General features: G+C 44.5%; 1 protein-coding gene and 1 pseudogene across 8 annotated transcripts in view, besides 1 other annotated feature; both read left to right on the top strand.

Annotated features, from left to right (window-relative positions):
- Nucleotides 1-25,898, top strand: part of RNF157 (ring finger protein 157) — a 98,020-nt gene that overhangs the window by 28,277 nt on the left and 43,845 nt on the right. The gene's annotated exons all lie outside the window — the stretch shown is intronic.
- ATP5MGP6 (ATP synthase membrane subunit g pseudogene 6) lies at nucleotides 9,421-9,691 on the top strand (annotated as a pseudogene).
- Nucleotides 20,946-21,445: an enhancer, noted in NCBI's record as "H3K4me1 hESC enhancer chr17:74186853-74187352 (GRCh37/hg19 assembly coordinates)". NCBI's record gives its function as "activates a minimal SCP1, AML or CMV promoter by ChIP-STARR-seq in primed H9 embryonic stem cells {active_cell/tissue: H9 hESC(primed)}" and the evidence as "EXISTENCE:reporter gene assay evidence [ECO:0000049][PMID:30033119]".

Here is a 25,898-nt window from a genome sequence, read left to right as displayed (position 1 = left end):
TTGGTTGTATGGGATCTCTTGTTGCTAGAGGACTGGAAGAGCTCCTGGAGTCTTGTGAGGGAGAGGATGAGTCTCACAAATTAAGCTAGGACAGATCTCTCCCTGTCACCTCTTTAGGCAACCCTTTTCCAAGGGCTTACCTTTTTTTTTTTTCTTCATGGCACTTAACACCAACCTTTTATTGATTTGTCTCTTTCTCTGCTTATTGTCTGCCTCCTCCTCTAGAACGTAAGTTTCATAAGGCAAGGACTGTTTTTACTGTAGTATCCCAAACCTAGAACAAAGCCTGGCACGTAATGTTAAGCCCTTAATAAATGATTGTTGAATGAATGACTGAAAATTTTTCTCTTGATATATGAGTTGATATGAGAATACATTTCTCTCACTTGTTCCTTCTCATAAATTTCTATTGCGCACCTTCTCTGCATCATGCAGGAGGCTTTGTAATAATAGCCGCCAGGTGGCTATTGAGTGGCTACCGTGTGCTAGGAAGGTCCTAGAGACCCCTGTTCCATATGAAGACCACTTGACTTAGGACTTATCACTCTATTTTATAAGCGAGAGAACTGAGGTGTTCAGAGAGATGAATAATGACAGAAGCTAGGAAGTGCACACTATGTTCTAAGCACTGTTCTAAGGGTTTTATATACATTTTTCTCAAAGTCATGTAACTAGGTTTGCCTGGTCACAGATCAGTAATCTTTCCAGTGCTCCTCACTGCCTTGAAATATTCTGCAAGTTTGGTGGAGCAGACAAAACACAGAAAACAGGAAATGTTTAATTAACAATAAAGATCAGAAGTGATTGAATGTGGTGGGAATTGAGAGTGGGAGAAGACAATGGCAAGGGCAGGTTGCTTCAGTGTTACACTGGGAAGAGGTGCAGGGAGTTGAACTGGCCTTTGAAGAATGGTGGGTTGGATGAGGCCTTTCCAGGAGTAGAGCACGGCACAGGCCTAAGAGCATTCAAGTTGTTGAATTGGCAAACATTTACTGAGCAACTACTGCGTGTCAGGTACTGTGATAGGCGCTGTGGATACAGAGCTGAAATGAGCATGGTTTGTTCTTCCCTGGAACAAATAAGGAAACCAGTCTGGCCCGATTGGAAAGGTGGGCCAGGCACAGTGGCCAACACCTGTAATCCCAGCACTTTGGGAGGCCGAGGTGGACAGATCACCTGAGGTTGGGAGCTCAAGACCAGCCTGGCCAACATGGTGAAACCCTATCTCTATTAAAAACACAAAAATTAGCCCGGGGTGGTGGCACACCCCTATAATCCCAGCTGCTCCAGAGACTGAAGCAGGAGAATCGCTTGAACCCGGGAAGTGGAGGTTGCAGTGAGCTGAGGTTGCCCCAGTGCGCTCCAGCCTAGGGGATAGAATGAGACTCTGTTTCAAAAAAAAGAGAAAGGTAGGTGGCGGCTGTGTTACCTTGATAGGTTTTTTACTCTCTCCTGTAGACCGTGAGGAATATTTAAGACTTGTAGGTAGGTGAGTGACCTGGAGAAATTGCTTTTTTAGGAAGATTGATCTGATGATGGTCTTCCATCTTGACCTTTAACATAAAAATAATTATTTTTTTGGTTTTCATTGTTCTCTTTCTTTCTTTCTTTCTTTTTTTTTTTTTTTTGGACGGAGTCTGGCTCTGTCGCCCAGGCTGGAGTACAGTGGCACGATCTTGGCTCACTGAAAGCTCTGCCTCCCGGGTTCACGCCATTCTCCTGCCTCAGCCTCCTGAGTAGCTGGGACTACAGGCACCCGCCACTACACCCGGCTAATTTTTTGTATTTTTAGTAGAGACGGGGTTTCACTGTGTTAGCCAGGATGGTCTCGATCTGACCTCGTGATCCGCCCACCTTGGCCTCCCAAAGTGCTGGGATTACAGGCATGAGCCACTGCGCCCGGCGGGTTCTCTTCCTTTCTATCTGGAGTGACCCCTCTGCTAATTTTTCGTCCAGTAGTACACTTTTCAAAATACCAAATCTTGTCTGCTTCAAGTTAAGTTATGTCAAGTAATACTTATCAGATGTCTACTCTTTGATTTTGTTACTACTGCCTTGGTAATTAGAGTAGACAGATCTTTCTTTTTTTCTGATAGAGCCAGATAAAAATGTTGCCTCACTCACAGGGAGTCAGCTTGTGCTTTGAAAGTAGCCCTTTCTGCTGGGCACGGTGACTCATGTCTGTAATCCCAGCACTCTGGGAGGCCGAGGCGGGCGGATCACAAGGTCAAGAGATCGAGACCATCCTGACCAATGTGGTGAAACCCCATCTCTACTAAAAATACAAAAATTAGCTGGGCGTGGTGGTGTGAGCCTGTAGTCCCAGCTACTCAGGAGGCTGAGGCAGGAGAATCGCTTGAACCCAGGAGGCGGAGGTTGCAGTAAGCCAAGATCATTCCACTGCACTCCAGCCTGGGCGACAGAGTGAGACTCCGTCTCAAAAAAACAAAAACAAAAATGAAAGTAGCCGTTTCTTCTATTAATAACATGGACTTGATGTTTGCATCTGTTTCTGTCTTTTTCCTTTCATCTGATGTAAAGATAGTTTATATATTTTTAAAAAAATTTTGGCCTTTTCAGTCCATAAAGATGATATAAAAATAAGTAAATCAGGGATGTCCAATCTTTTGGGTTCCCTGGGCCACATTGGAAGAAGAAGAATTGTCACATTGGGCCACACACGGAATACACTAGCAGTAACGATAGCTGATGAGCTAAAAAAGAAAAAAAAAAACGCAAAAAAATCTTACAATGTTTTAAGAAAGTTTACGAGTTTCTGTTGGGCCACATTAAAAGCCATCTACCCCTGGGCCGCAGGTTGGACAAGCTTGAAGTAAATGCTGCTTTAGGTTCAACTTGAAGTTTATGCTGGCTGGCAGACTTTTCCTAAGTTTGCCTATGCCGACCTATGAATGACTGAGCTCTTTCTGAAATGCTAGGTAGCAGCCTTAACCTTAAAGTTGAGGCTTTTTCCCAAAGAAGATCAAGCTGGGCACAGTGGCATGTGCCTGTGGTCCCAGCTACTCAGGAGGCTGAGGCTGAGATGGGAGGATCACCTGAGCCCAGGAGAATTCGAGTCCAGTTTGAGCAATATAGCAAGACCTCCATCTTAATCAATCAATCAATAAATGCCACTTAAAAAAAAAAAGAACATCAACATTGGAGTTTTTGTTGTTGCTTTTATGTAGTAATCATTAAGTATGCTTAATGTTACACATAGCAAATGAATTTTTTTTTTTTTTTGAGGCAGAGTCTCACTCTGTCACCCAAGCTGGAGTGCAGTGGCACGATCTTGGCTTACTGCAGCCACAGTCTCCTAGGCTCAAGTGATTCTCCTGCCTCAGCCTCCTGACTAGCTGGGATTACAGGTGCCTGCCACCACACCTGGCTAATTTTTGTGTTTTTTTAGTAGAGATGGGGTTTCACCATGTTGGACAGGTTGGTCTTGAACTCCTGATCTCAGGTGATCTGCCCATCTCGGCCTCCCAAAGTGCTGGGATTACAGGTGTGAGCCACCGCGCTGGCAAATGTTTTTAAAAGACATAATTTTATATTAGGAAAGCAAATCAGAGTAACTTCATATAGCTGCATAAAAATGTAGTATAGAGAATAAATGCCACATGTTTCTCTTTTTCTTTTCCCCACAGGTTATTTGATAATAATAATGATGGCTAACATTTGAACACCTAGTTTTTGCCAGGGCTGATTGTTCTAAGCTTTTCATCTGTGTTGTCTCATTTTGTCCTCACATCATGATGAAAAAGGTCCTCATTCAACAGGTGAAGAACATGTGGCACAGAGAGTTTAAAGACTGCACAGCCTGTAAGGGATCAGGATTGGAACCTAACAGTCTGGCTCCAGAGCCTGAACCATGCTGCCATTTTTGCTAATTAGGCCAGGTGTACTCAGAAACTCTGCCCACATCCTGTTTGTGAGTCCATTGTGTAGATCTTCAAGTGCAATTTCTGAAATATTGGTATCTGAAAGTGGAATGAGGCCAGCACAGTGGCTCATGCCTGTAGTCCCAGCTGCTCAGGAGGCCGAGGCCTATAGATCTCTTGAGCCTAGAAATTGAAAACCAGCCTGGGCAACATAGCGAGACCCTCATCTCTACAAAATATAAAATGATAAAAATTAGCCAGGCGTGGTGGTGCATGCCTCTAGTCCCAGCTACTCAGGAGACTGAGGTGGGAGGATCACTTGAGCCCAGGATGCCAAGGCTTCAGTGAGCTATGATCACTGCAGCCTGGGCAACAGAGCAAGAACCTGTCTCAATAAATAAATAAATAAAAGTAGACGAGTGGCAGTGATATGTTCTCTTGGAGCGCCTCTTCAGAGTTCGTATTCCATGTGTAATTCCATCTGCTGAGCTGACCTCTGGGTTTTGCCATTACTGCACAACATGCTTGTTTAGGGGAAGGCTCAGAGATTGAAGATTGACATGTAGCTTGAGTTCTAAACAGCTGACTTCCACTCTCTAGCAAAAGATCTTGGGTGTCAGCACATGAGTGTTAGGTTACAGGGGAGCAAGAAAGAGAACAACCTTTTAAAGCCATCCAGCAGCATGCGGCAAGAACGACTCCTCTTTGCAGAGAGAGTGAATATGGGCAGTGAAATATGTTAAAATGAATTGTTATATTAAGCTATAAATGCCATAGACTTCCTGGCTTGTGCAATTCCCTGTCATTTCTGAATGAGCAGACTAAAAAGTTTGTCATTTGACTGAGCTGTACTTCGCACCACAGATCTACCACTTAGGATAATCCATCAAAGCCAATTTTTTTTTTTCCCCTAGAGATAGGGACTTGCCCTGTCACCCAGGCTGGAGTGCAGTGGCGTGATCATTGCTCACTGCAGCCTCAAACTCTTGGGCTTAAATGATCTGCCTGCCTCAGTCTCCTGAGTAGCTGGGAATAAAGGTGCATGCTACTACACTGGGCTAATTTTTAAAATTTTTTTTGTAGAGACAGGGTCTTTCTTGCTTTATTGCCCAGGCTGATCTCAATCTCCTAGCTTCAAGCAGTCCTCCTGCCTCAGCCTTCCAAAGTGTTGGGATTGCAGGTGTGAGCCACCAAGCCCGGCCCAAAGCCAAATTTATTATCAAGTCTTAAGGGTCAGATTTAAAGAAACTAGAGTGTGTGTATATACAGAAAGATGGTGGAAGAAAGTTGGAATCTAGATTTCAAGTTTTATTTATATCTTACCATTAAACTCTTTGTAACCTTGGCAAACGTATCACTCAGGTGCTCAGATTACCTGCTTGTAGCATGGAGGTAGTTCTGACTTTAGAATAATGTAATGCTTGGAAGATTCCTTGTAATTGCTGGACAAAAAGCAGCATGCAGCAATGTTAGCTATACTTGCTACCTTTCCAGTTGGTTATTTCTACAGCTACTTGTCATTCTAGGTAGGGTTCTTCACTGTTTTCTTTGTTTGTTTTTTGAGACAAAGGTTCACTCTTGTTGCCCAGGCTGGAGTGAGCCGATTGCAGTGAGCCGAGATCCCAAGATCACGCCATTGCAGTCCAGCCTGGGCAACAAGAGCGAACCACCATGCCCAGGTAATTTTTTGTATTTTTAGTAGAGACAGGGTTTCACTATGTTGTTCCAGGCTGGTCTCGAACTCCTGACCTCAGGCAATCCACCCACCTCGGCCTCCCAAAGTGCTAGGTGGCATGAGCCACCTTGGCCGGCCTCTTCACTGGTTTTTAAATACTGTCTTAAGTAGTAAACTGGGCTTCTGAAGGTCTTTCTGCTCTGGTCCCTTATATAAAGGAACTAAGGTATCTGTGAATCAGTTACAAAATGTTAAATAAAGACCATCCCTTCCCTTCCTAGGTGGCAGAAGAGCTGGTGTTGCTTTTCTGCTCCTTTATTGAGTTAGATCTTGTTTTGTTGGGATAATTACTGCCCAACTCTAAGTTATTAGAGGCTTAGAAATTAGTCAAGTAATGCCTTGACTCCTTCCTGGCCTTTTTTTTCCTTTTGAGACAAGGTCTTGCCCTGTTGCCCAAGCTGAGGTACAGTGGCACAACTACAGCTCACTGCAGCCTCGACTTCCTAGGCTTAAGTGATCCTCCCACCTCAGATTCTCCAGTAGCTGGGACTACAAGCACGCCCCACCATGCCTGGCTTTTTAAAAAAAATTTCTATAGAGAGAATGTCTTACTACATAGCCCAGGCTGGTCTCAAACTCCTTTGCTCAAGTAGTCTTCCTGTCTTGGCCTCTGAGAGTGCTGGGATTATAGCTATGAGCCACTGTGCCCCACCTCTGCCTGCCTTTTGTAGGCAGGAGTTCAAACCGCTCCTCTCATTTTATAAGGAAAGTAGTTGAGTTTTAACCTAGTTCCTAATAGTCTGTATCCTCTCGTGTGTTCTGTAGCTGGGCCGCATTGACACAGTTTCTTCTTCCTCATGCTCCCTGCAATCAGAGCTGCACAGCTGGCATTATTATTTTATTTATTTATTTATTTATTTATTTATTTATTTATTTAGAGATGGAGTCTTGCTCCGTCGCCAGGCTAGAGTGCAGTGGCACGATCTTGGCTCACTGCAACCTCTGCTTCCCAGGTTCAAGCAATTCTTCTGCTTCAGCCTCCCAAGTAGCTGGGACTACAGGCACACACCACCACGCTCAGCTAGTTTTTGTATTTTTAGTAGAGACGGGGTTTCACCATCTTGGCCAGGATGGTCTCAATATCTTGACCTCGTGATCTACCCATCTCAGCCTCCCAAAGGGCTGAGCCACTGCGCTCAGCCGCTGGCATTATTTTAAGAACTAAAATGTGCCCGGCATGGCGGCTTATCCCTATTCCCAGCACTTTGGGAGGCTGAGGCGGGAGGATCACTTGAGGCCAGAAGTTTGAGACCAGCCTGGGCAACATAGCAAAACCCCGACTCTACAAAAAAAAATTAGCCAGGGGTGGTGGTACACACCTATATTCCTAGCTACTTGGGTGGTTGAGGCTAGAGGATTACTTGAGCCCAGGAGGTCAAAGCTGCAGTGAGCCATGATTATGCTACTGCACTCTAGCCTGGGCTACAGAGCATGACCCTGTCAAAAAAAAAAAAAGAAAGAAAAAAAGAAAAGAAAAGAGGAAGGGAGGGAACGAGGGAGGGAGGAAGGAAGGAGACTGGGCATGGTGGCTCACGCCTCTAATCCCAGCACTTTGGGACACCGAGGCAGGTGGATCACTTGAGGTCGGGAGAGATCAAGACCAGCCTGGCCAACATGGTGAAACCCTGCCTCTACTAAAAATACAAAAATTAGCTGGGCGTGGTGGCAGGTGCTTGTAATCCCAGCTACTCAGGAGGCTGAGGCAGGAGAATCGCTTGAACCCAGGATGCACAGGTTTCAGTGAGCCGAGATCGCACCACTGTACTCCAGCCTGGGTGATAGAGTGAGAGTGAGACTCAGTCTCAAAAAAAAAAAAAAGAAAGAAAGAAAGAAAAGAAATAAGATGCATACAGTGTACTTTTCTTCTTTCTCTAGTACAGATAGACCAAAAGTTGTACTCAAATCCAGTTTCTGTAAATTGAACCCTATTATCATATGTGTCAGGAAGAGCAAGTTATTTAAAGGAACTTGGTAGTATATCCATTTGTAACATAGAGTTTTGCACTTATAGAGCTTTGTGGCAAAAAAAGAGAACATGATTCTGTTAGTCCCGGTGCTATTCATTCATTCAACAAGTATTTATGAGTCACATACTGTGCTGGGAACTAGGAATGCAGAGATGAAAAGACATGACCCTTGACCTGAAGATGCTTGCTGCAGAGTGGGGCAGCTGATGTGCCCCCACTGCGAGGGACTGTGATAGGTTCTACGAGAGAGGACCAGAGTGCCCTGGAGCACAGACCAGTGGGGATGCCCTCTCTCCAGGGAAGGGGCTTCTGGGAGGGGACTCCTTTAACCTGGAGGGATAAGTAGGATTTCCTAGGTAGGGGAGATGAGGAGAGGCATCTGAGGCAGAATTAATTAATAAGCAATACAAGGAAGCATAAAGATGCAGAAGTGTGCTTTTGGCGCTCAGAGTGGTGAGTAGTCAATAAGTATTGGACTGTGAGGGATGCTGGTTGGAGTTGAGGCTGGAAAGACAAATTGGGTTCATATCTGAAGAGCTATGAATATTGTATTAAGAAGTTTTTATGGGCTGGGCGCGGTGGCTCACGCCTGTAATCCCAGCACTTTGGGAGGCTGAGGAGGGCAGATCACGAGGTCAGGAGATCGAGACCATCCTGGCTAACACAGTGAAACCCCGTCTCTACTAAAAATACAAAAAATTAGCCGAGCATGGTGGCGGGCGCCTGTAGTCCCAGCTACTCAGGAGGCTGAGGCAGGAGAATGGCGTGAACCCGGGTGGCGGAGTTTGCAGTGAGCCGAGATCGTGCCACTGCACTCCAGCCTGGGCGACAGAGCGAGACTCCGTCCCAAAAAAAAAAAAAAAAGCAACAAAACTTTTTACAGGCCAGGCGTGGTGGGTCATGCTTGTAATCCCAGCACTTTGGGAGGCTGAGGCGGGGAGGTCACCTTAGGTCAGGAGTTTAAGACCAGCCTGGCCAGCGTGGTGAAACCCCGTCTCTACAAAAATACAAAAATTAGCCAGGCATGATGGCGGGTTCCCGTAATCCCAACTACTCAGGAAGCTGAGGCAGGAGAATTGCTTAAACCCAGGAGGCAGAGGTTGCAGCGAGCTGAGATTGCGCCATTGCACTCCAGCCTGGGTGACAAGAGCAAGACTCCATCTCAAAAAAAAAAAAAAAAAGTTTTTACTTTTCCTTCTATGGCAGTAAAGGTCATAGTCATGAATGGCTTTGCCACTGACTGACTTTGTCATGTTGGTTAAGACGATGGCCAATCAGTGAGTCTCAATTTCCCCATCTATAAAATTACCTTGCAGGAATATTTTAAGGACTCAAAAAATGATGGCGGGACCTGATGGCTGACGCCTGTAGTCGCAGCATTTTGGGAGACTGAGGTGGGTGGATTGCTTGAGGCCAGGAGTTTGAGACCAGCCTGGCCAACATGGCGAAACCCTGTCTCTACTAAAAATACAAAAATTAGCCAGGCATGGTGGTGCATGCCTGTAATCCCAGCCGCTTGGGAGGCTGAGGCATAAGAATCGCTTGAACCCAGAAGGCGGAGGTTGCAGCGAGCGGAGATCATGCCACTGCACTCCAGCCTGGGCTGGACGAGACCCTCTCTCAAAAAAAAAGATAACTATTACAATCTAATTTGCATTTTAGAAAATTAATTCTATAAATTAATTCACAGTATAGGTAATGAATCAGAGAGACAGAAAATAAGAAGACCAGTTAGGAAGTAATTTATTTTAAGAAAAAATACATGAAATAACTGAATAGGATTAACAGCATTGCAAATAAACATGGTGCAGACTTTCTACCCTAGAACCATGGACCAATTTATAACCTTGCAGAGAAGGCCCCAGGGCTGATGATCATTGTTGTGACTTGTTTGAAGCCTCGATTGGCCACTTTTTGGTACTATGCCAAGGCTGAGCTGCTTCCTCCAACCCCTGGTGAGATCCCTAGAACTATTCAGAGCCTGAAAAAAAAAATAGTAGCGCTCTAATAGCTCACAGTTAAGGAAGCTTTGCTGAATGATGTGGTCCACACATGAGGTGTGGACGTGATTTTATGTCAGAGAGCTCACAGGCAAGTGTGGCATCATTGCTGTAATCTTTGAAGACCCATCTTTAACATCTGATTACATTTGATTTATGACTTGTGTGTTCTTGGACCATGTGTGATCAGACTAAAATGTGTCTAAAAAACAGAAAATAAAATGAATGCAGTGCAGATTAGAGAATTGCAGCAGTGTGAGTTGAGGCAAAGGACACTCCAAGGAACAGCCTCTGTGAGAGGCCACCACTTACCCCAGATGCTGTGCACGTGTTATGTTTGGAGATTTATTTGTGCCTTGGACTTGGAGTAACTGGCCTAATAGGTCACATCACAAGGACCTGGCACTTAACTGCCCTACAGGCCTAAAGCCCATGGTGGGAACGGGTGTCTTTCTCATGCACGTGTGTGTGTGTGTGTGTGTGTGTGTGTGTGTGTGTGTGTGTGAGAGAGAGAGAGAGAGAAACTGAGATTGGGTTATTTGCCTTTTGCATGCTATCTTCTTTCCTTCTTCCTTCCTTTATAATTTTACTACAATTTTTTTTTGTCCTTTAGCCTGGAAATATTGATTAAATTTTGAGCTGTGCGTACCCTTTGGCCCAACTGTTTCACCTCTCCGAATCTCTCCTACAGAAATATTTTGAAGAGTGTGAAATGATTCCTATTTACAATGTATATTGTAGCATTACTTGTAGTAGTGCAAAATTAGAAAATATCTAATGGCCATTATAGTGGAATGGTTAAATAAATTATAATGTGCCTATGCCATGAACTGTTATTCAGCAAAAATTAGATAGATCTGCGTCCACTGAGATGGCAATATGTCCACAACCACATGACTTACTGAATAAAGCAAGTTGCAGTGTATAATGTAGAGTCTGATTTCATTTCGGATAAAAATAATATATGTATGTGTGTGCATTATGTACATATATTTATAGCTACACAAATATACTATTACAATGCATTTTGAACTGTTAACAATGGTAACTCTTGGGATATATCAAGAAGGGGGGTATTCACTTCTTAATTCATATTTTCTAAAATTTTCTTTATTTTTTTTTTAGAAATAAGCTTGTTCTGTCACCCAAGCTGGAGTGCAGTGGTGCAATCATAGCTCACTGTAACCTGGAACTCCTGGGCTCAAGCAGTCCTCCTGCCTCAGCCTTCCTGGTAGCTGGGACTACAGATACATGACACCATGCACAGCTAATTTAAAATTTTTTCTTTTTCTCTTTTTTTTTTTTTTTTTGTAGAGACTAGGGTCTCACTATGTTGCCAAGGCTGGTCTTGAACTCTTGGGCTCAAACAATCCTCCTGCCTCAGCCTCCCAAAGTGCTGGGATTACAGGTGTGAGCCACTGTGCCCGGCTCTTCATATTCTTCTATGTTGTTTGAATTTTTTCCAGTGAACGTGTTTTCATTTTTAAATGAAAAGTATTTTAATTTTCTTTAAAAATAGAGGTGGAAATACTTCTAAGTAGAGGAAGGAAATAGGTTTAGAAGAATATTTAGAAGTAGGAAAATTAAGGGAGTTCACAAAATAATGGTTTTAATTTTTTAGTGAACTACAGGAAAGGTAGGGTCTGCTCGCTGGGGTTGGGATGTGTGCCAGGAAGTGTCTGGGGGCTTGCGGAGAAAGACAGAAAACCAGAGTAAGCATGGGGAGGAGGAGAGTCAGGGAGCTCGGTCCTCTTGGTGCCAACATGCAGTAATTCACCTTTAGAAACAGTTGATTCGAAATGGTATGAGATTCAGTATGGAAGTGGCCTGCTTTTCAGCAACCTGACAGTAAAAGAACTAGAGGATGAATATTCATACTTTTAAAATGGTTTAGGGCTTTAAAGAGTTTCACTTAAGGCATTCTTATAATACATGTCTCCCTACTTCCACGCCTTCCCCAGGGGTGACCACCCTGCTCATCACACATCGTTGTACAGTCTCCAGAACTCCTTTCATCTCACAAAACTGAAACTCTGTCCCCACTGGACACTGACTCACCATTTCCCTCTCCTACCAGCCTCTGGCCTCCACCATTCTGTTTTCTGCCTCTATGAGTTTGACTACTCTAGGTACCTCATACGAGTTGAATCATAGAATATTTGTTCTTTTGTGACTGGCTTATTTCACTTGGCATGTGCTTGGTTCATCCATGTTGTAGCATGTGTCAGAATTTCCTTTTTAAGGCTGAATAATATGCCATTATATCGATACACTGTATATCCATTCATCCATCAATAGACAGACACTTGGGTTGCTCCTGCCTTTTGGCTATTGGGCTAGGGAAGAAATGCCTCGGTTTTTTTTGGTTTTTGTTTTTGTTTTTTTTTTTGACAAGACGGAGTCCCGCTCTGTCGCCCAGGCTGGCATGGAGTGGCGCGATCTTGGCTCACTGCAAGCTCCGCTTCCCAGGTTCACAGCATTCTCCTGCCTCAGCCTCCGGAGTGGCTGGGACTACAGGCGCCCGCCACCACACCCGGCTAATTTTTTTTTTTGTATTTTTAATAGAGACGGGGTTTCACTATGTTAGCCAGGATGGTCTCGATCTCCTGACCTCGTGATCCGCCCGCCTCGGCCTCCCAAAGTGCTGGGATTACAGGCGTGAGCCACCGCGCCCGACCTGAAATGCCTAGTTTTATGAAATTATGTAGGCTTGTTGTAGGTTCAGTTTTGAAATTTAACTTGTTTTTATGTTCTTACAAAAAGCACTTTATTCAACTTATATTACTTTTCATCCTTAATAAAGATGAGGACATTATCCCTCTGTTTTATGGAGTTGGATTTCTATGGTAGGTGGATCTTCAGAGAGACGGGGTCCCAGTAGCATGAGCAGGTGGCAGTAGGATGGAGACCAGCGAGCTGCGTCACCAAGTGCAGTCACACTTCACGTTGAGATCACCAGTGATAAGAAGGGGCACTCCCAGAGAAGTTGAATCAGTGTTTATACCTATTAGTATTGATGTGGCTCTTCCTGCCAGCTGTTCTTTTTTTTTTTTTTTTTTTTTTAACTTTCAGCTGCTTTTGGCAGGGCACAGTGGCTCACATCTATAAACCCAGCACTTTGGGAGGCCAAAGTGGGAGGATCACTTGAGCCCAGGAGTTCAAGACCAGCCTGGGCAACATAGTGAGACCCTCTACAAAAAATAAAGGAAATTAGCTGTGTATGATGGAGCGTGCCTATAGTCCCAGCTACTCAAGAGGCTGAGGTGGAAGGATCACTTGAGCCTGTGAGGTTGAGGCCACAGTGAGCTGTGATCAAGCCACTGCACTCCAGCCAAAACCAATTTGGAATATAAGTACACTGGGAGAAGGAGGAAGAGAAAGTAGAGGAAGGAATAGTTTCTTCTTTGTTCATGTTTTAATCTGGTCTCTGTACTAGTTGAGAAGATAGTTTTCTTAAATGATCATAACATGTTGCCAACTTTGATCTTCTTTCCCCTCTCTGTTACACAAATCACTGACTAACTGGCTCACTCCTTCATTATTCCCTCAATCATTTACATTCTGTGGAATACCCATTGTTCTCCAGGCTGATGTTAGACACTAGAAATACCGATGAAATGCAGTCCCTGCCTGAAGGAGTTGTACAGCTAGGAAACATGAACACGTCGGAGGAGGGCCCATGAGCAGAGGCACAGAGACATCTCACCAACAGACGGTGTGTGCACTGCAGGTGATTCAGCATAAGCAGGTGTGGCATCCAGAGGGTGGGAGGAGACTTTGCAAGAGATAAGACTGAGATGCCAGGCCTGGACCAAGGGGCCTGGTATGCCTCCCTGTGAGCTTCGAATTTTTGTCCTGTAGGTGTGGGGAACCACTAATGGGCTTTAAACTGGGGCTCACAGAAGACACATTTTAAAAGATCTCTCAGATGAAGTGTAGAAGGTAGATTAGAGAGTCATGAGAACGGATACAGGGTAACCAGTTGTCCAACTGAGATTTGATGGAGGTTTGACCTCAGGCTGCAGAAGGAATGAAGAGGACACTGACGTATACGGCAGAACCTATGCTGGTAACCAGTGTGGGGCAGAATCTAGGGTGTGGTAATTAGAGTATGTTCAGGCCCCCCAAAGGACGCAGCCAGCTAGTGGATTTTCCCACTTTATGTGCAGACCTATTCTCGTGGAGTAGACACGAAGCCTTTTGAACTTTTCCTCTAAAGATCTCTGTGGCAGTTTTGGAATCAATTACTGTGGTCCATCATTTTTCCAAGCTCCCAAGAACCCCCCTCCCCCAGCACATATCAGATCCAAGGCTCTTGCCAAGGTGTTCATTCTGTGTCATAAGAGAATGTCCCTGTATCAACAGGCTCTCCCTCATCCAACTTTGTATTCCAACACCCTCAGGAACCCCTCCCACACATCCTCCAGGTCCTGCTAGTGCCTTTGTTGGCCAGGTCCCAAGCACCTCTGGCATGATAAGCCCTCTCCTCTCTTTGCAGGTCCAGCAGGCCCCGGTTGAGTAATACTCAGATAATGGCCCTAATTATGGTTGGGTGGCCAGAAAGGAAGGTGGGGGCAGGTCCTCTGTAGGGTGAGCATTGTCTTTTAAGTTACTCGCCTCATTTGAGACCTCTGTGTAATCATGAAGGGTGGAGGAGCAGGTTCCTCCCATCTTCAAGGGAGAGGGCTATTTGCAAGCCTAGGGAATCTGGGGTTCATGTTCCTCAAATAAATATACACAGACGTTCCCATCTCAAGTCTTAGAGTTCACTCCTTCCCTACCAGGGCCTGAATCTGGCACAGTAGACTAGTATAGGCTGAGAGTTCATCCTTTTTGATTCTGCCACTCTTAAAATTAGGTCTTGTGCCTGCAGGAAATGATTGTCTTTAAATGCTGCCAAAGCAGCCTGGCATGGTGGCACATCTGTAATCCCAGCACTCGGGAGGCTGAGGTGGGAAGATGGCTTGAGACAGAAGTTTGAGGCTGCAGTGAACTATGTTCACACCACTGCACTCCAAGCCTGGGTACCATATTGAGACCCTATCTCAAATAAATTAATAAATAAGTAAAAATTGCCAAAGGAAGCTTACTGACTATCATAGCTGGCTTTATTTCTTTATTTTTAGTTTTTCTTATAAAGATGGGGTCTTGCTGTGTTGCCCAGGGTGGTCTCAAACACCTGGCCTCAAGTGATCTTCCCGCCTCAGCCTTCCAAATTTCTGGGATTACAGGCATGAGCCACCACATCCAGGCTCATAGTTGGCTTTACATTTTTGATTGCTATACCTGAAACTCATTTTCTCTTTTCAATGAAACAGTCCTCTTAATAGCAGTCACCCAGTTTCACAGTCCTTACTGTAACTGTTTCTCCTGTACCTCCTGTACCAAGACATCAAAATCGCCTGGATATTATACAGCCCCGTGTCTCCTATTCCCCTTCACCACAGGGGAATGTCTGCAGCATGCTGGGGACCATCCACTTTCCACCCACCTCAGTGATGGGTCCTCATTGCCATCTGGCTGTGGGTGATCCACCCCCAAATTCCATCCATAGACAACATCTGATATCAACCGGTTTAGGTTGGGTTCTCTGGGAGCAAAGCCTGAGATGGAGATCTTTGTGAAAGCTGTTTATTGAGGGAATGCTCTCTAGAGATGAGGAAGACAGATGGGGCAGTGGAGCAAAACCAAACATGAGTGCGGTCTTGGCCAAGACCCATTTTGGCCTGGTCCCACGGGAAAGCTTTGGAGTACAGCTTGTACCACAGAGTTGCTTCATCTCAAGGTAAAGGGGCCAGCTTTTTGTACAGCCCTGTCAATCAGTCACTGGCTGTTGGTGGCTGTCCTGGAGTGAGATAGGGAATCAGGAAGACTCTTGGATCAGGTGGCTCTGGTTCCCAGTTCTTGGAGAAGGGGTAGCTATGGCTGTTTGTAGCCAAAACTCTCCACAGCAGGGGTACAGAGACCTGGGGAGGGAGTTGGGGAAGGTTGGGACGCCAGCACATGACTACACTCCCGTACATACTTCGGCCCTTGCTTTTTAATTTAATGGTGTATCATATTGGAGATCATTCTAGATCCATTTACCTAGGGCTGACTTGTCCTCTTTAAAAATATTTATTGATGTATAACATACACACAGAAAGATGACAAGTCATCCATGCACAGTTGATTTTCACAAAGTGAGCCCTCCGCTGTGGCCAGCATTCAGATGAAGAAGTAGCACATGGCCAGCACCCCCAGAAGCTCCCCTTCTGCTCCTTTCCTGTTGTTACCTCTAGCCTAAGGTAACCGCAATCCTAACTTCTGTCCTGGTTTGAACTTTATATAAGTGGAACTGTGTTCAATTTGCTCTTTAATGTCTGGCTCCTTTCACTCAGCATCTTTGTGACATTTATTTATCTCATGGTAGCTTAGCCCAGGAGGGTCCTTGGCTTTGCTCAGGAAAGAATTTAAGAGCCAGTGGTGGAAGAAAACAGCTTTATTGAGGCGGCAGTGTTACAGCTCTGTGACTGCTCCTGCAGAGCAGGGCTACCCAAAGGCAGTGTGTTGAGAGTAGCGGCTCAGAGCAGGTTTGTAATCATATTTATACCCACTTTTAATTATGTGCAAATTAAGGGACAAATTATAAAGAAATTTCAAGAAGGATAGTACCTTCCGGGTCATTGGGTCATTGCCATGAAAGAGGGTGGTAACTTCCAGGTGTTGCCGTGGCAATAGTAAACTGACATGGCACACACTGACAGGTATGGGAGGTATGGGCTATCTTATGGAAAGCTGCTTCTGCCCAGTCCCTGTTTTAGCTTGTGCTCAATTTAGTCTGATGTGCGAGCCCCACCTCTGGAGTTGAGTCTCACTTCTTGAGTCAAGTCCTACATCCTACCTCAATGGCGTACAGCAACGAGAAGGAACAAACTATTCCTGTGCTGTGTACGGTTCATTTCCATTGCTGCATAGTATTTCATTGTGTGAATACACCATAATTTATCCACTCTATTGTTTGCAGGCATTGAGCTTTTTTGGGGCATTTTGGCTATTACACATAGTGCTGCTATGAACGTTCTATTATTACATGTATTTTGTTGTGTATATGTATGCATACCTGTTAAGGCTATAGCTAGGAGAATTGCTGAGTCATAGAATATGCTGTAGTAGATACCGCTAACCGCTTTTCAAAGTGATTCTACCAATTTTTTTTTCCCACTAGCAGTGTTTAGAATGTCCAGCACCTAGTATTTTCCATCTTTTTAATCTTAGCCATTGTGGTAGGTTTGTAGAATTTATTTTCATTTTCCCGATAACCAATGAAGTTGGAGAGACAGGTGATCTCCTGGTTACGTGGTGTCTGGAAAAAGATCTAGGGGTCTAAATGCTTTTCACACCAACCCCAGTCTCCTGTTTCCAGCCTTGCTCTACCCCGCTTGTAGGAGGACCTACACCTCCATTTCCTAAGCCTGTCTGGAGTTCTGTGACATGAATATGTTTCTGCCATTTGGGATTTCGGCCCTTTCTGTTCTCCTGAATCGCTTTCCACTTGTCAGTGTGTGTTTCAGCTTCCAAGTTTTTATTATAATATCCTCTCCCATTCCCTCTGCTCTTGTGTTTTGTTTTGTTTTTTTGAGACAGAGTCTCGCTCTGTCACCCAGGCTGGAGTGCAGTGGTGCTATCTCGGCTCACTGTAAACTCCACCTCCCGGGTTCACGCCATTCTGCTGCCTCAGCCTCCTGAGTAGCTGGGACTACAGGCGCCCGCCACCACGCCTGGCTAATTTTTTGTATTTTTAGTAGAGACGGGGTTTCACCATGTTAGCCAGGATGGTCTCGATCTCCTGACCTCGTGATCTGCCCACCTTGGCCTCCCAAAGTGCTGGGATTACAGGTGTGAGCCACCGTGCCCGGCCTGCTCTTGTGGTTTTATATTTTTCTCTCTCTCTTTTTAAATCTCTTTACTATTGTTTTAGTAGCAATTCAGAAGAAAGCAGAGTTATCTAAACTGGAAGGAAACCTAATCGTGTCTGGTACTGTATATTATACAATCATGGAAGAGGACATAGGCCATTTCTATAGAGACTATTTTAAATGAGTTATTTGTCTTTGGGTTTAAACTATCCACTTCACAGCCCACTAAGAAGCGTCCTGCTTTCGGGGGTCTTTCAGCAGAGCCTGCAGAGTCATCTCAGGCTCTAGTGAATTTACCGCCCTTCCCACCATCAGACTGGCTTCACTATTTCTGATGTATTTGAAAGTCTCCTATGGTGGCTGAGTGCGTGGTGTTCTATGCGAACTGAATGAGGCCTTTGGCTATTTTACTTAAGCATTGTAAAGAGTGTTGTGTCATTCTGGAAAGAGCAAAACGATAGAGATAAGAAATAGATCAATGGTTGCCAGGGACTGGGGTGCATGGAGGAGTTGACTAGAGAGGGCACAAGGGAATGTGGGGGTAATGGAAATGTTCTTTATTTTGTTTGTAATGGTGGTTACACTGTTGTGTGTGTTTGTCAAAATTCACAGAACTGTACACCAAAAAGGCTGAATTTTACTGTATATAAATTATACCTTGATAAACAAACCAACAAAAAAACAGAATGTGCCTTGGAAAGAGGTGATTAATAGAAATGTGATTGCCTTCTCTGTGGCCTGGTTCCCATGTAGTCCAGGGAGTCCCGTTTGTGGACGTGTACCCCAGAGAAGTGGTAGCCGTGTCCCCCAGGGCTGTCTGTGGATGTGGAGGTGGGAGGGGTAGCAGGGCAGCATTGCTCCTGCATCAGCAGCCCTCGGCCAGGCGCTAATCTCAGATCTGAAACTATGGGTGCGGCAGCCTCACTGCAGGATGCGGGAGAGCCTGCCCAGGAGCTGTGCCTCAGACCTCTGTTTTGTTTTCTCGCTCAGCTCCTGATTGTTTCGGATCAGGCTTCAGAAGTCACGTTTGTTTGTTAGACAGTCAGGGTCACAACAGACAAAAGGAGAACGTGCTTAACTCTCACGTTACCTTAGACAGTGTCTTCCATTTCCCTAGTGATCCTAAACCGAGAATCTCAGAGAGCCTTTCAGTCACTATGGTAGAAACTTGTATGTGTCCGTGGGTGGGGGGTGGTGGGGGTAGCTGTTTCCAAGATGTTAAATTCCAGTAGAATATAGGGCAGATCTACAATAATTCTTCTGGGTCACGACCAAGTGAGATATATCCTAACTGTATTTACTTCAAGTGCTTTGGGATTTGTAGATAAGAGATACTTACCTAATTGCTTGTATTTCATTTGTGCATTATTTTTTCCAAGCATTCAAAATAGCATTACAAGTTCTTTAATGAAGATGTTATCACTAATGCTAATCACTAAGGATCACTAATGATAACATATATTTTTATAGCACTGTATGGTTTTCAAAACATTTTTATTTGATCTTAATGACCCTATGAGATAGACAGAAGCTATAAATCTCATTTTACAGATAAGGACATTGATGCTCAGAGATGTTAAGTTATTTGCCCAAAGTCTTGTGTATGAAGTGAGAGAAGGCTGAGTGCTCTGGCCCACGCCTGTAATCCCAGCATGTTGGGAGGCCGAGGCGGGAGGATCACTTGAGCTCTGGAGTTTGAGACCAGCCTGGGAAACAGCGAGGTCCCGTCTCTACAAAAAGTCAAAAATTAGCTAGGTGTGGTGGCGCGCGGCTGTTACTCACGTGGCTGAAGTGGGAGAATCACTTGAGCCTGAGAGGTTGAGACTGCAGTGATGGCCATCGCAGTCACCCTGTGCAAGAGAGCGGATGCTGTCTCAAAAAAAAAAAAAAAAAAGGAAAGAAAGTGGGAGAGCTGAAACAAGAACCTGTGTCTTCTGGCTGTTGATATCATACTTGTTTTATTAAATCATTTCATCTTCATTTTCCAGTCTTTCATACAACTCACTGGCAGAACCAGAGGGTTTCAGCTGCTAGTCAAGCTTACTCAGTATTACTCCACAAACCCTTAATTTAAAAACACATGGTGGTCTGTGTTTTTCAGTTATTTTGTGAGCATTAATTGTACCAGTCTGCCATTTAGTCTGCGGGGCAAATATTCAAAATCTAAAGAGTCACCATGGGCATATGCTGTACTCTTCCGAAGATCTTGTTGTTCGTGTATTCATTCTACAGACATCTATTTCTGCCTTCTGTATGTGCTGGTCTAATCACTAGGGGTAACACGAAGAGGATTCCTACATGGATTTTGCCCTCAAGTTTATAATTTCATGGAGAAGATCAGACTTGGACATACATAGCTATAATACAGAGCAGGGAGTGAAAAATGAAGTATAAAAATAGTCATGTAAAAGCTTGGAGAAAGGAACTTTATAATGTAAATGTTGCTGACTCGAAAAGTGCCACTAAGTGCTTGAACTTTTGCTTCGTTGTTTGATGCCATGTTTCTTAACAAACCAGAGTACAAAGAACTGCTGTGGTATTCAGTAGTGGAACTAAAGCATCTGTGTTGTAGGAATTTCCTCGAAATTTCTTTGAAACATATTGAAACCAAGTGTGCACACTCTCACCTCTGTTTCCTGTTGTCATTGTGCACCCCATCTGACGGGAAACTATACTTACTGGTTTTGCATTTCAAAGAAAAATCTGGTTAACTTTTTCAGCATTTAAAGAGATGCATAGTGGCCTTAACTGTTACTGAAACTGTTATATAAAAGTCTGTATTGTATTGTCAAAGACTTACGAGTCAAATAGCTTAACAGTTGATTACACGTAAATTTTGTCCCTAAGCAGCACACTTCATTCTCTAAGATGGTCTTTCCCGGCCAATCAAATAAAATAGTAGCCCTGATTATTACAGAAATTAATCAGACATATACTTTATCTTTACATTTTAATATTTTTTTAGACAGGGTCTGCCTCTGTCACCCAGGCTGAAGTGCAGTGGTGCAATTATAGCTCATTGTAGTTTCAACCTCCCAGGCTCAAGCAGTCCTCCCACGTCAGCCTTCCTAGGAGCTGGGACTACAGGCACATACCACTACACCTGGCTAATGTTTTTTTTTTTTTTTTTTTTTTGAGGCGGAGTCTTGCTCTGTCGCCCAGGCTGGAGTGCAGTGGCGTGATCTCAGCTCACTGCAACCTCCACCTCCGGGTTCAAGCAATTCTCTGCCTCAGCCTCCTGAGTAACTGGGATTACAGGTGCCTGCCACCACGCCCAGCTAATTTTTGTATTTTTAGTAGAGACAGGGTTTTGGCCAGGCTGGTCTTAAACTCCTGACCTCATGATCCTCCCGCCTCAGCCTCCCAAAGTGTTGGGATTACAGGTGTGAGCCACCGCGCCCAGCCCTAATTTTTTATTTTTTTGTAGAGACGGTGTCTCACTATGTTGCCCTAACCGATCTTGAACTCCTGGGCTCCAGCGATCCTCCTGCCTCAGCTTCCCAAAGTACTGGGATTATAGGCATAAGCCACCACACCCAGCCCACTTTATCTATAGAAGGCAGCACTGAACTTTAGGGTAAATGTTGGTATAATTATAGAATAGAATGTAGTCCTTAGCCATATTTTCTACTTATTAAAAACTTAAATGCTGGTAACACAAGAGGTTTATGTCCTCTGCTAATCCATATCGTAACTTTTTTTTTTTTCTTTTTGTAGAAACAGTCCCACTATGTTGCCCAGGCTGGTCTTGAACTCCTGGCCTCCCAAAGTGCCGGGACTACAGGTGTGAGCCACTGCATTCAGCCGTGTAAACTTTTTTTTTTTTTTGAGACAGAGTCTCGCCCTGTCGCCCAGGCTGGAGTGCAGTGGCACGATCTCGGCTCACTGCAAGCTCCGCCTCCCGGGTTCGTGCCATTCTTCTGTCTCAGCCTCTGGAGTAGCTGGGACTACAGGGCGCCTGCCACCATGCCCGGCTAATTTTTTGTGTTTTTAGTAGAGACGGGGTTTCATCGTGGTCTCGATCTCCTGACCTCGTGATCCACCCGTCTCGGCCTCCCAAAGTGCTGGGATTACAGGCGTGAGCCATCACGCCCGGCCGTAAACTATTTTTTTAATTCTTTTTTTTTTTTTTTGAGATGGGGTCTCACTCTGTCACCCAGGCTGGAGTGCAGTGGCATGATCATGGCTCACTGCAGCTTTGACTTCCCTGGACTCAAGCGATTTCCCTGGACACTGTGCCCAGTGTAAACTATTTTTAAAAGAGAGAATGGCCAAGCACAGTGGCTCACACCTGTAATCCCAGCACTTTGGGAAGCTGAGGCAGGCAGATCACTTGGGGCCAGGGGTTTGAGGCCAGCCTGGCCAACATGGCGAAACTCCGTCTCTACTAAAAATATAAAAATTAGCTGGGTATGGTGGCACGTGCCTGTGGACCTAGCTATTCAGGAGGCTGAGGCAAGGGAATTACTTGAACCCGGGAGGTGGAAGTCGCAGTGAGGCGAAATTGTGCCACTGCACTCCAGCCTGGTTGACAGTGAGAATCTATTTCAAAAAAAAAAAAAAAAGAGAGAGCAAGCAGTTAGCCTGAGCACTTAACAGAAGTAAGGGTAATAAGTATCAGTGGGTCACATCTACCCTTTACAAAGTTATTTGTCTCCACAATTCCACTGTTATTTCCTGGCCCCACACCACCCTGTGAACACTGGGGCTGGGACTCTGCGGCTCTCTCCATTGCTTGCTACACTTGGCCATGTGCTGCCAGTGGGAGGTGCTGGAAGGTCTACAGGGCTGGAGGAGAAGGACCCACTGCTTCTTGCGCCTGGCTGTTCCTATGACCACCATCCCAGCAATGCCTTTTCATCCCACCAGCTGCAGTTTGTTTCAGCCTTCAGTTGTTTTTGTTTGTGTTCTCCTCCCAACAAACCCAGAACCAGCTGGGCAGTACCCTCACCTCAGAAGTCTGAGTCCCAGCTTCGGAGGGTCCCTTCTCCGGGCTTCCAGGATCTGAGAACCCAACCTCTCCCTTTTGTTTCCTCAGCCATGGGGATGGAAACCGTTTCCTGCAGTTTCTCTCTGTCAGCTCCGTGCCCCCTTTTCGTGTTTTAGTTCTCTGATATCCATTTAACCAGTTCCTTGTATTTAATTCTGCCTATTAAAATACCTTGTGTAGTACCTGTTTTCCTGACTAAACCATGATTAATACAACTTCTACTCTCACAACTTTTGAGGTCGCTGTTATGGAGCTCATTTCACTGATAAGGAAATGGAGGCTTAGTAGGGCAAAGCAGCTTGTCTAAAGTCACCGTAACCAGCAGCACAGGAGCTGAGACCCACGCCTTCTGCTCATAGATCCTGAGCTCCTTCCATTTCATCTCTGCATTTCTCTTGCTGAATTAATTTTTTTAATAATTTATTCTTACAGAAGAATCACAAAAGATAACAGAGTTGCCATATAGCCTTTATCCAGCTCCACCTAAGGTTAACATCTTACATAACTGCAACACATTTATCCAGACTGAAAATTAACACAGTTACATTACTATTTTTAAAACTAGACTTTATTAGGATTTTACCAGCTTTTCCTCTATTGTCCTTTCTTAGTTCTAGGATCTAGTCCAGGATACTTTTGGTTCTCATGTTTCCTTCATCTCCTCCAATGTGTGCTAGTTTCTCAATTTTTCCTTGTTCTTCATGACCTTGAAAATTTTTAGATGTACTTGGCTAGGTATTTTGTAGAACTTCCCTTGATTTGGGTTTTTCTAATGTTTTCTTTTGAAATATCAAAAGACCAGGATTATAGACTTTGGGAAAGAAAACCACAGATGTAGTTGCATCATATCAGAGGTACATAATATCACATGACTTATTGCTGTTGATATCAGCCCTGTTTACATGGTCCGGGTGGTACAGGTTTATCCACTGTAAATCTTCCCCTTTCCATGATGTATTCGTTAGAAGCCAGTCACTAAATCCTCTTGCTGAACTTTTGACTTCCCACTTAATTATGGAGCCATGCTTTCTTTACAGACTATTAACTAGCATAAGAGAATGTTTGTATTAATGACCAGACTGAGAATTATAAACTTAGAAGCCAAACTAACACTGTTGGGAGATACTAGCATGCATTGCTTTGGGGGGAATTATCTGTTGCATCTATTGCACCATCTTTGCTTGCACCTTGTTTAAAGTTGGAACTTGGCTATTTTTAGTCTCAGAAAGCTTGTGGTTAATGCTAAGACACCTATTTATTCTTCAGGGAGTGTAATCACCTCTGACAAGCCCTGAAAGATGATCAGAAGCCCAGGGTCTTAATGAAATGCAGAAAATCAGTAAAAAGAGGAAGAACCACAGAGAAGAGGTTGCTGAGAATAAGGAAAATTGGAGGTGATGAAGGATGTGGCTCAAGGAGTGGAGATTTACAAGGATGGGCTGAGAAGTGATGGGTGACCACATGGGGCAGTGGAGTGATCCCAGGTAGGAGGCCGTGGGATGCAGTACAAGAGAACGTAAGTCACCTTGGAGTTGGAGCATGATAGAGTATGGGTGTTCACCATCTAGAACCTAAAGTTCTAGCCACTGCATTTCACTATATCCGGTCTTTAAATGAGTTTAGACTTTCATAAAAGCCAAAGAAAGTAGTTCACTTGGTTTACAGAATCTTGGCTGCCCACTGCTATTGGGGGGTGACTGAAGAATAATCAGAGCTCTCAAGACTCTTAGAAGCTTAGCAATGCAAAACGGAACAAGTGCCACCTTATTAAACTAGCTGCAGAATAGATTTTTCCATTAGGGTTTCCGCACATCTTTACATTAATAACTCAGAAAATAGAACTATCAGGGCTGGGCGTGGTGGCTCACACTTGTAATCTCAGCATTTTGGAAGGCTAAGGCAGGCAGATCATTTGAGGTCAGGAGTTCAAGAGCAGCCTGACCAACATGGTAAAACCCTATCTCTACTAAAAATTACAAAACAAATTAGCTGGATGTGGTGGCAAGCACCTGTAATCCCAGCTACTCGAGAAGCTGAGGCAGGAGAGTCGCTTGAACCCCGGATGTGGAGGTTGCAGTGAGCTGAGATTGCCACACTGCACTCCAGCCTGGGCGACAGAGTGAGAACCTGTCTCAGAAAAAAATAAATAAATAAATAAAATAAAACTATCAGGTATATGCTATGGATTTTTATTTTATGCTATTTTGTTCTAATTATCTAGGGCTTCTATACCACAGGATTAACTAAAGAAAATAAAATCCTGGCCAGACGCCGTGGCTCATGCCTGTAATCCCAGCACTTTGGGTGGCTGAGGTGGGTGGATCACAAGGTCAGGAGTTCAAGACCAGCCTGGCCAACATGATGAAACCCCCATCTCTACTCAAAATACAAAAAATTAGCTGGGCATGGTGTCATGCACCTGTAATCCCAGCTACTCGGGAGACTGAGGCAGGAGAATGGCTTGAACCTGGGAGGCGGAGGTTGTGGTGAGCCGAGATCGCACCACTGCACTCCAGCCTGGGTGACAGAGCGAGACTCCATCTTAAGAAAAAAAAAAGAAGAAGAAAAAAAGAAAATCCTATTAGAGTTATTGATTGAATAGTGACTTTCTTCCCAGGGCTGTATCTGCAAATACATAGCCTAGCCAGAGTAACCAGACCTTGCCAGGGCTTTGAATTCCATGTTTGTTTGGCTTATAAACTTAACTATTTCCATTGATATATTTCATACTATTATTATTTTTCTCAAACCAGAGTTGAGATTTTATTTATTTATTTATTTATTTATTTATTTATTTATTTATTTTGAGTCGGAGTCTCATTCTGTCACCCAGGCTGGAGTACAGTGGTGCGATCTCAGCTCACTGCAACCTCTGCCTCCTGGGTTCAGGCAATTCTCCTGCCTCAGCCTCCCAAGTAGCTGTGATTACAAATGTGCACTACCATGCCTGGCTAATTTTTGTATTTGTAATAGAGATGGGGTTTCACCAGTTTGGCCAGGCTGGTCTCAAACTCCTGACCTCAGGTTATCTGCCCGCCTCGGCCTCCCAAAGTGCTGGGATTACAGGCGTGAGCCACTGCCCCCCCGGCCCAGACCTGAGATTTCTAGCCTAGTAGACCTCAGAGCATATTTTCCTTCCAGGAATATGAGAGAAATCTTGACAACTCTTGTAATTAATCTTGAATCTTACATAAGTAGTTTTTTTGGGGTTTTTTTGTTTCGTTTTGTTTTTTGTTTTGAGACAGAGTCTCACTCTTGTTGCTCAGGCTGGAGTGCAGTGGTGTGATCTCGGCTCACTGCAACCTCTGCCTCCTCAGTTCAAGTGTTTCTCCTGCCTCAGCCTCCTGAGTAGCTGGGATTACAGGCACCCGCCACCACGCCCAGCTAATTTTTTGTATTTTTAGTAGAGACGGGGTTTCACCATGTT

Source organism: Homo sapiens, chromosome 17 (genome assembly GCF_000001405.40).
Source record: "Homo sapiens chromosome 17, GRCh38.p14 Primary Assembly".
Classification (NCBI taxonomy): Eukaryota; Metazoa; Chordata; class Mammalia; order Primates; family Hominidae; genus Homo; species Homo sapiens.
This window is presented reverse-complemented; position numbering and strand designations above follow the sequence as displayed.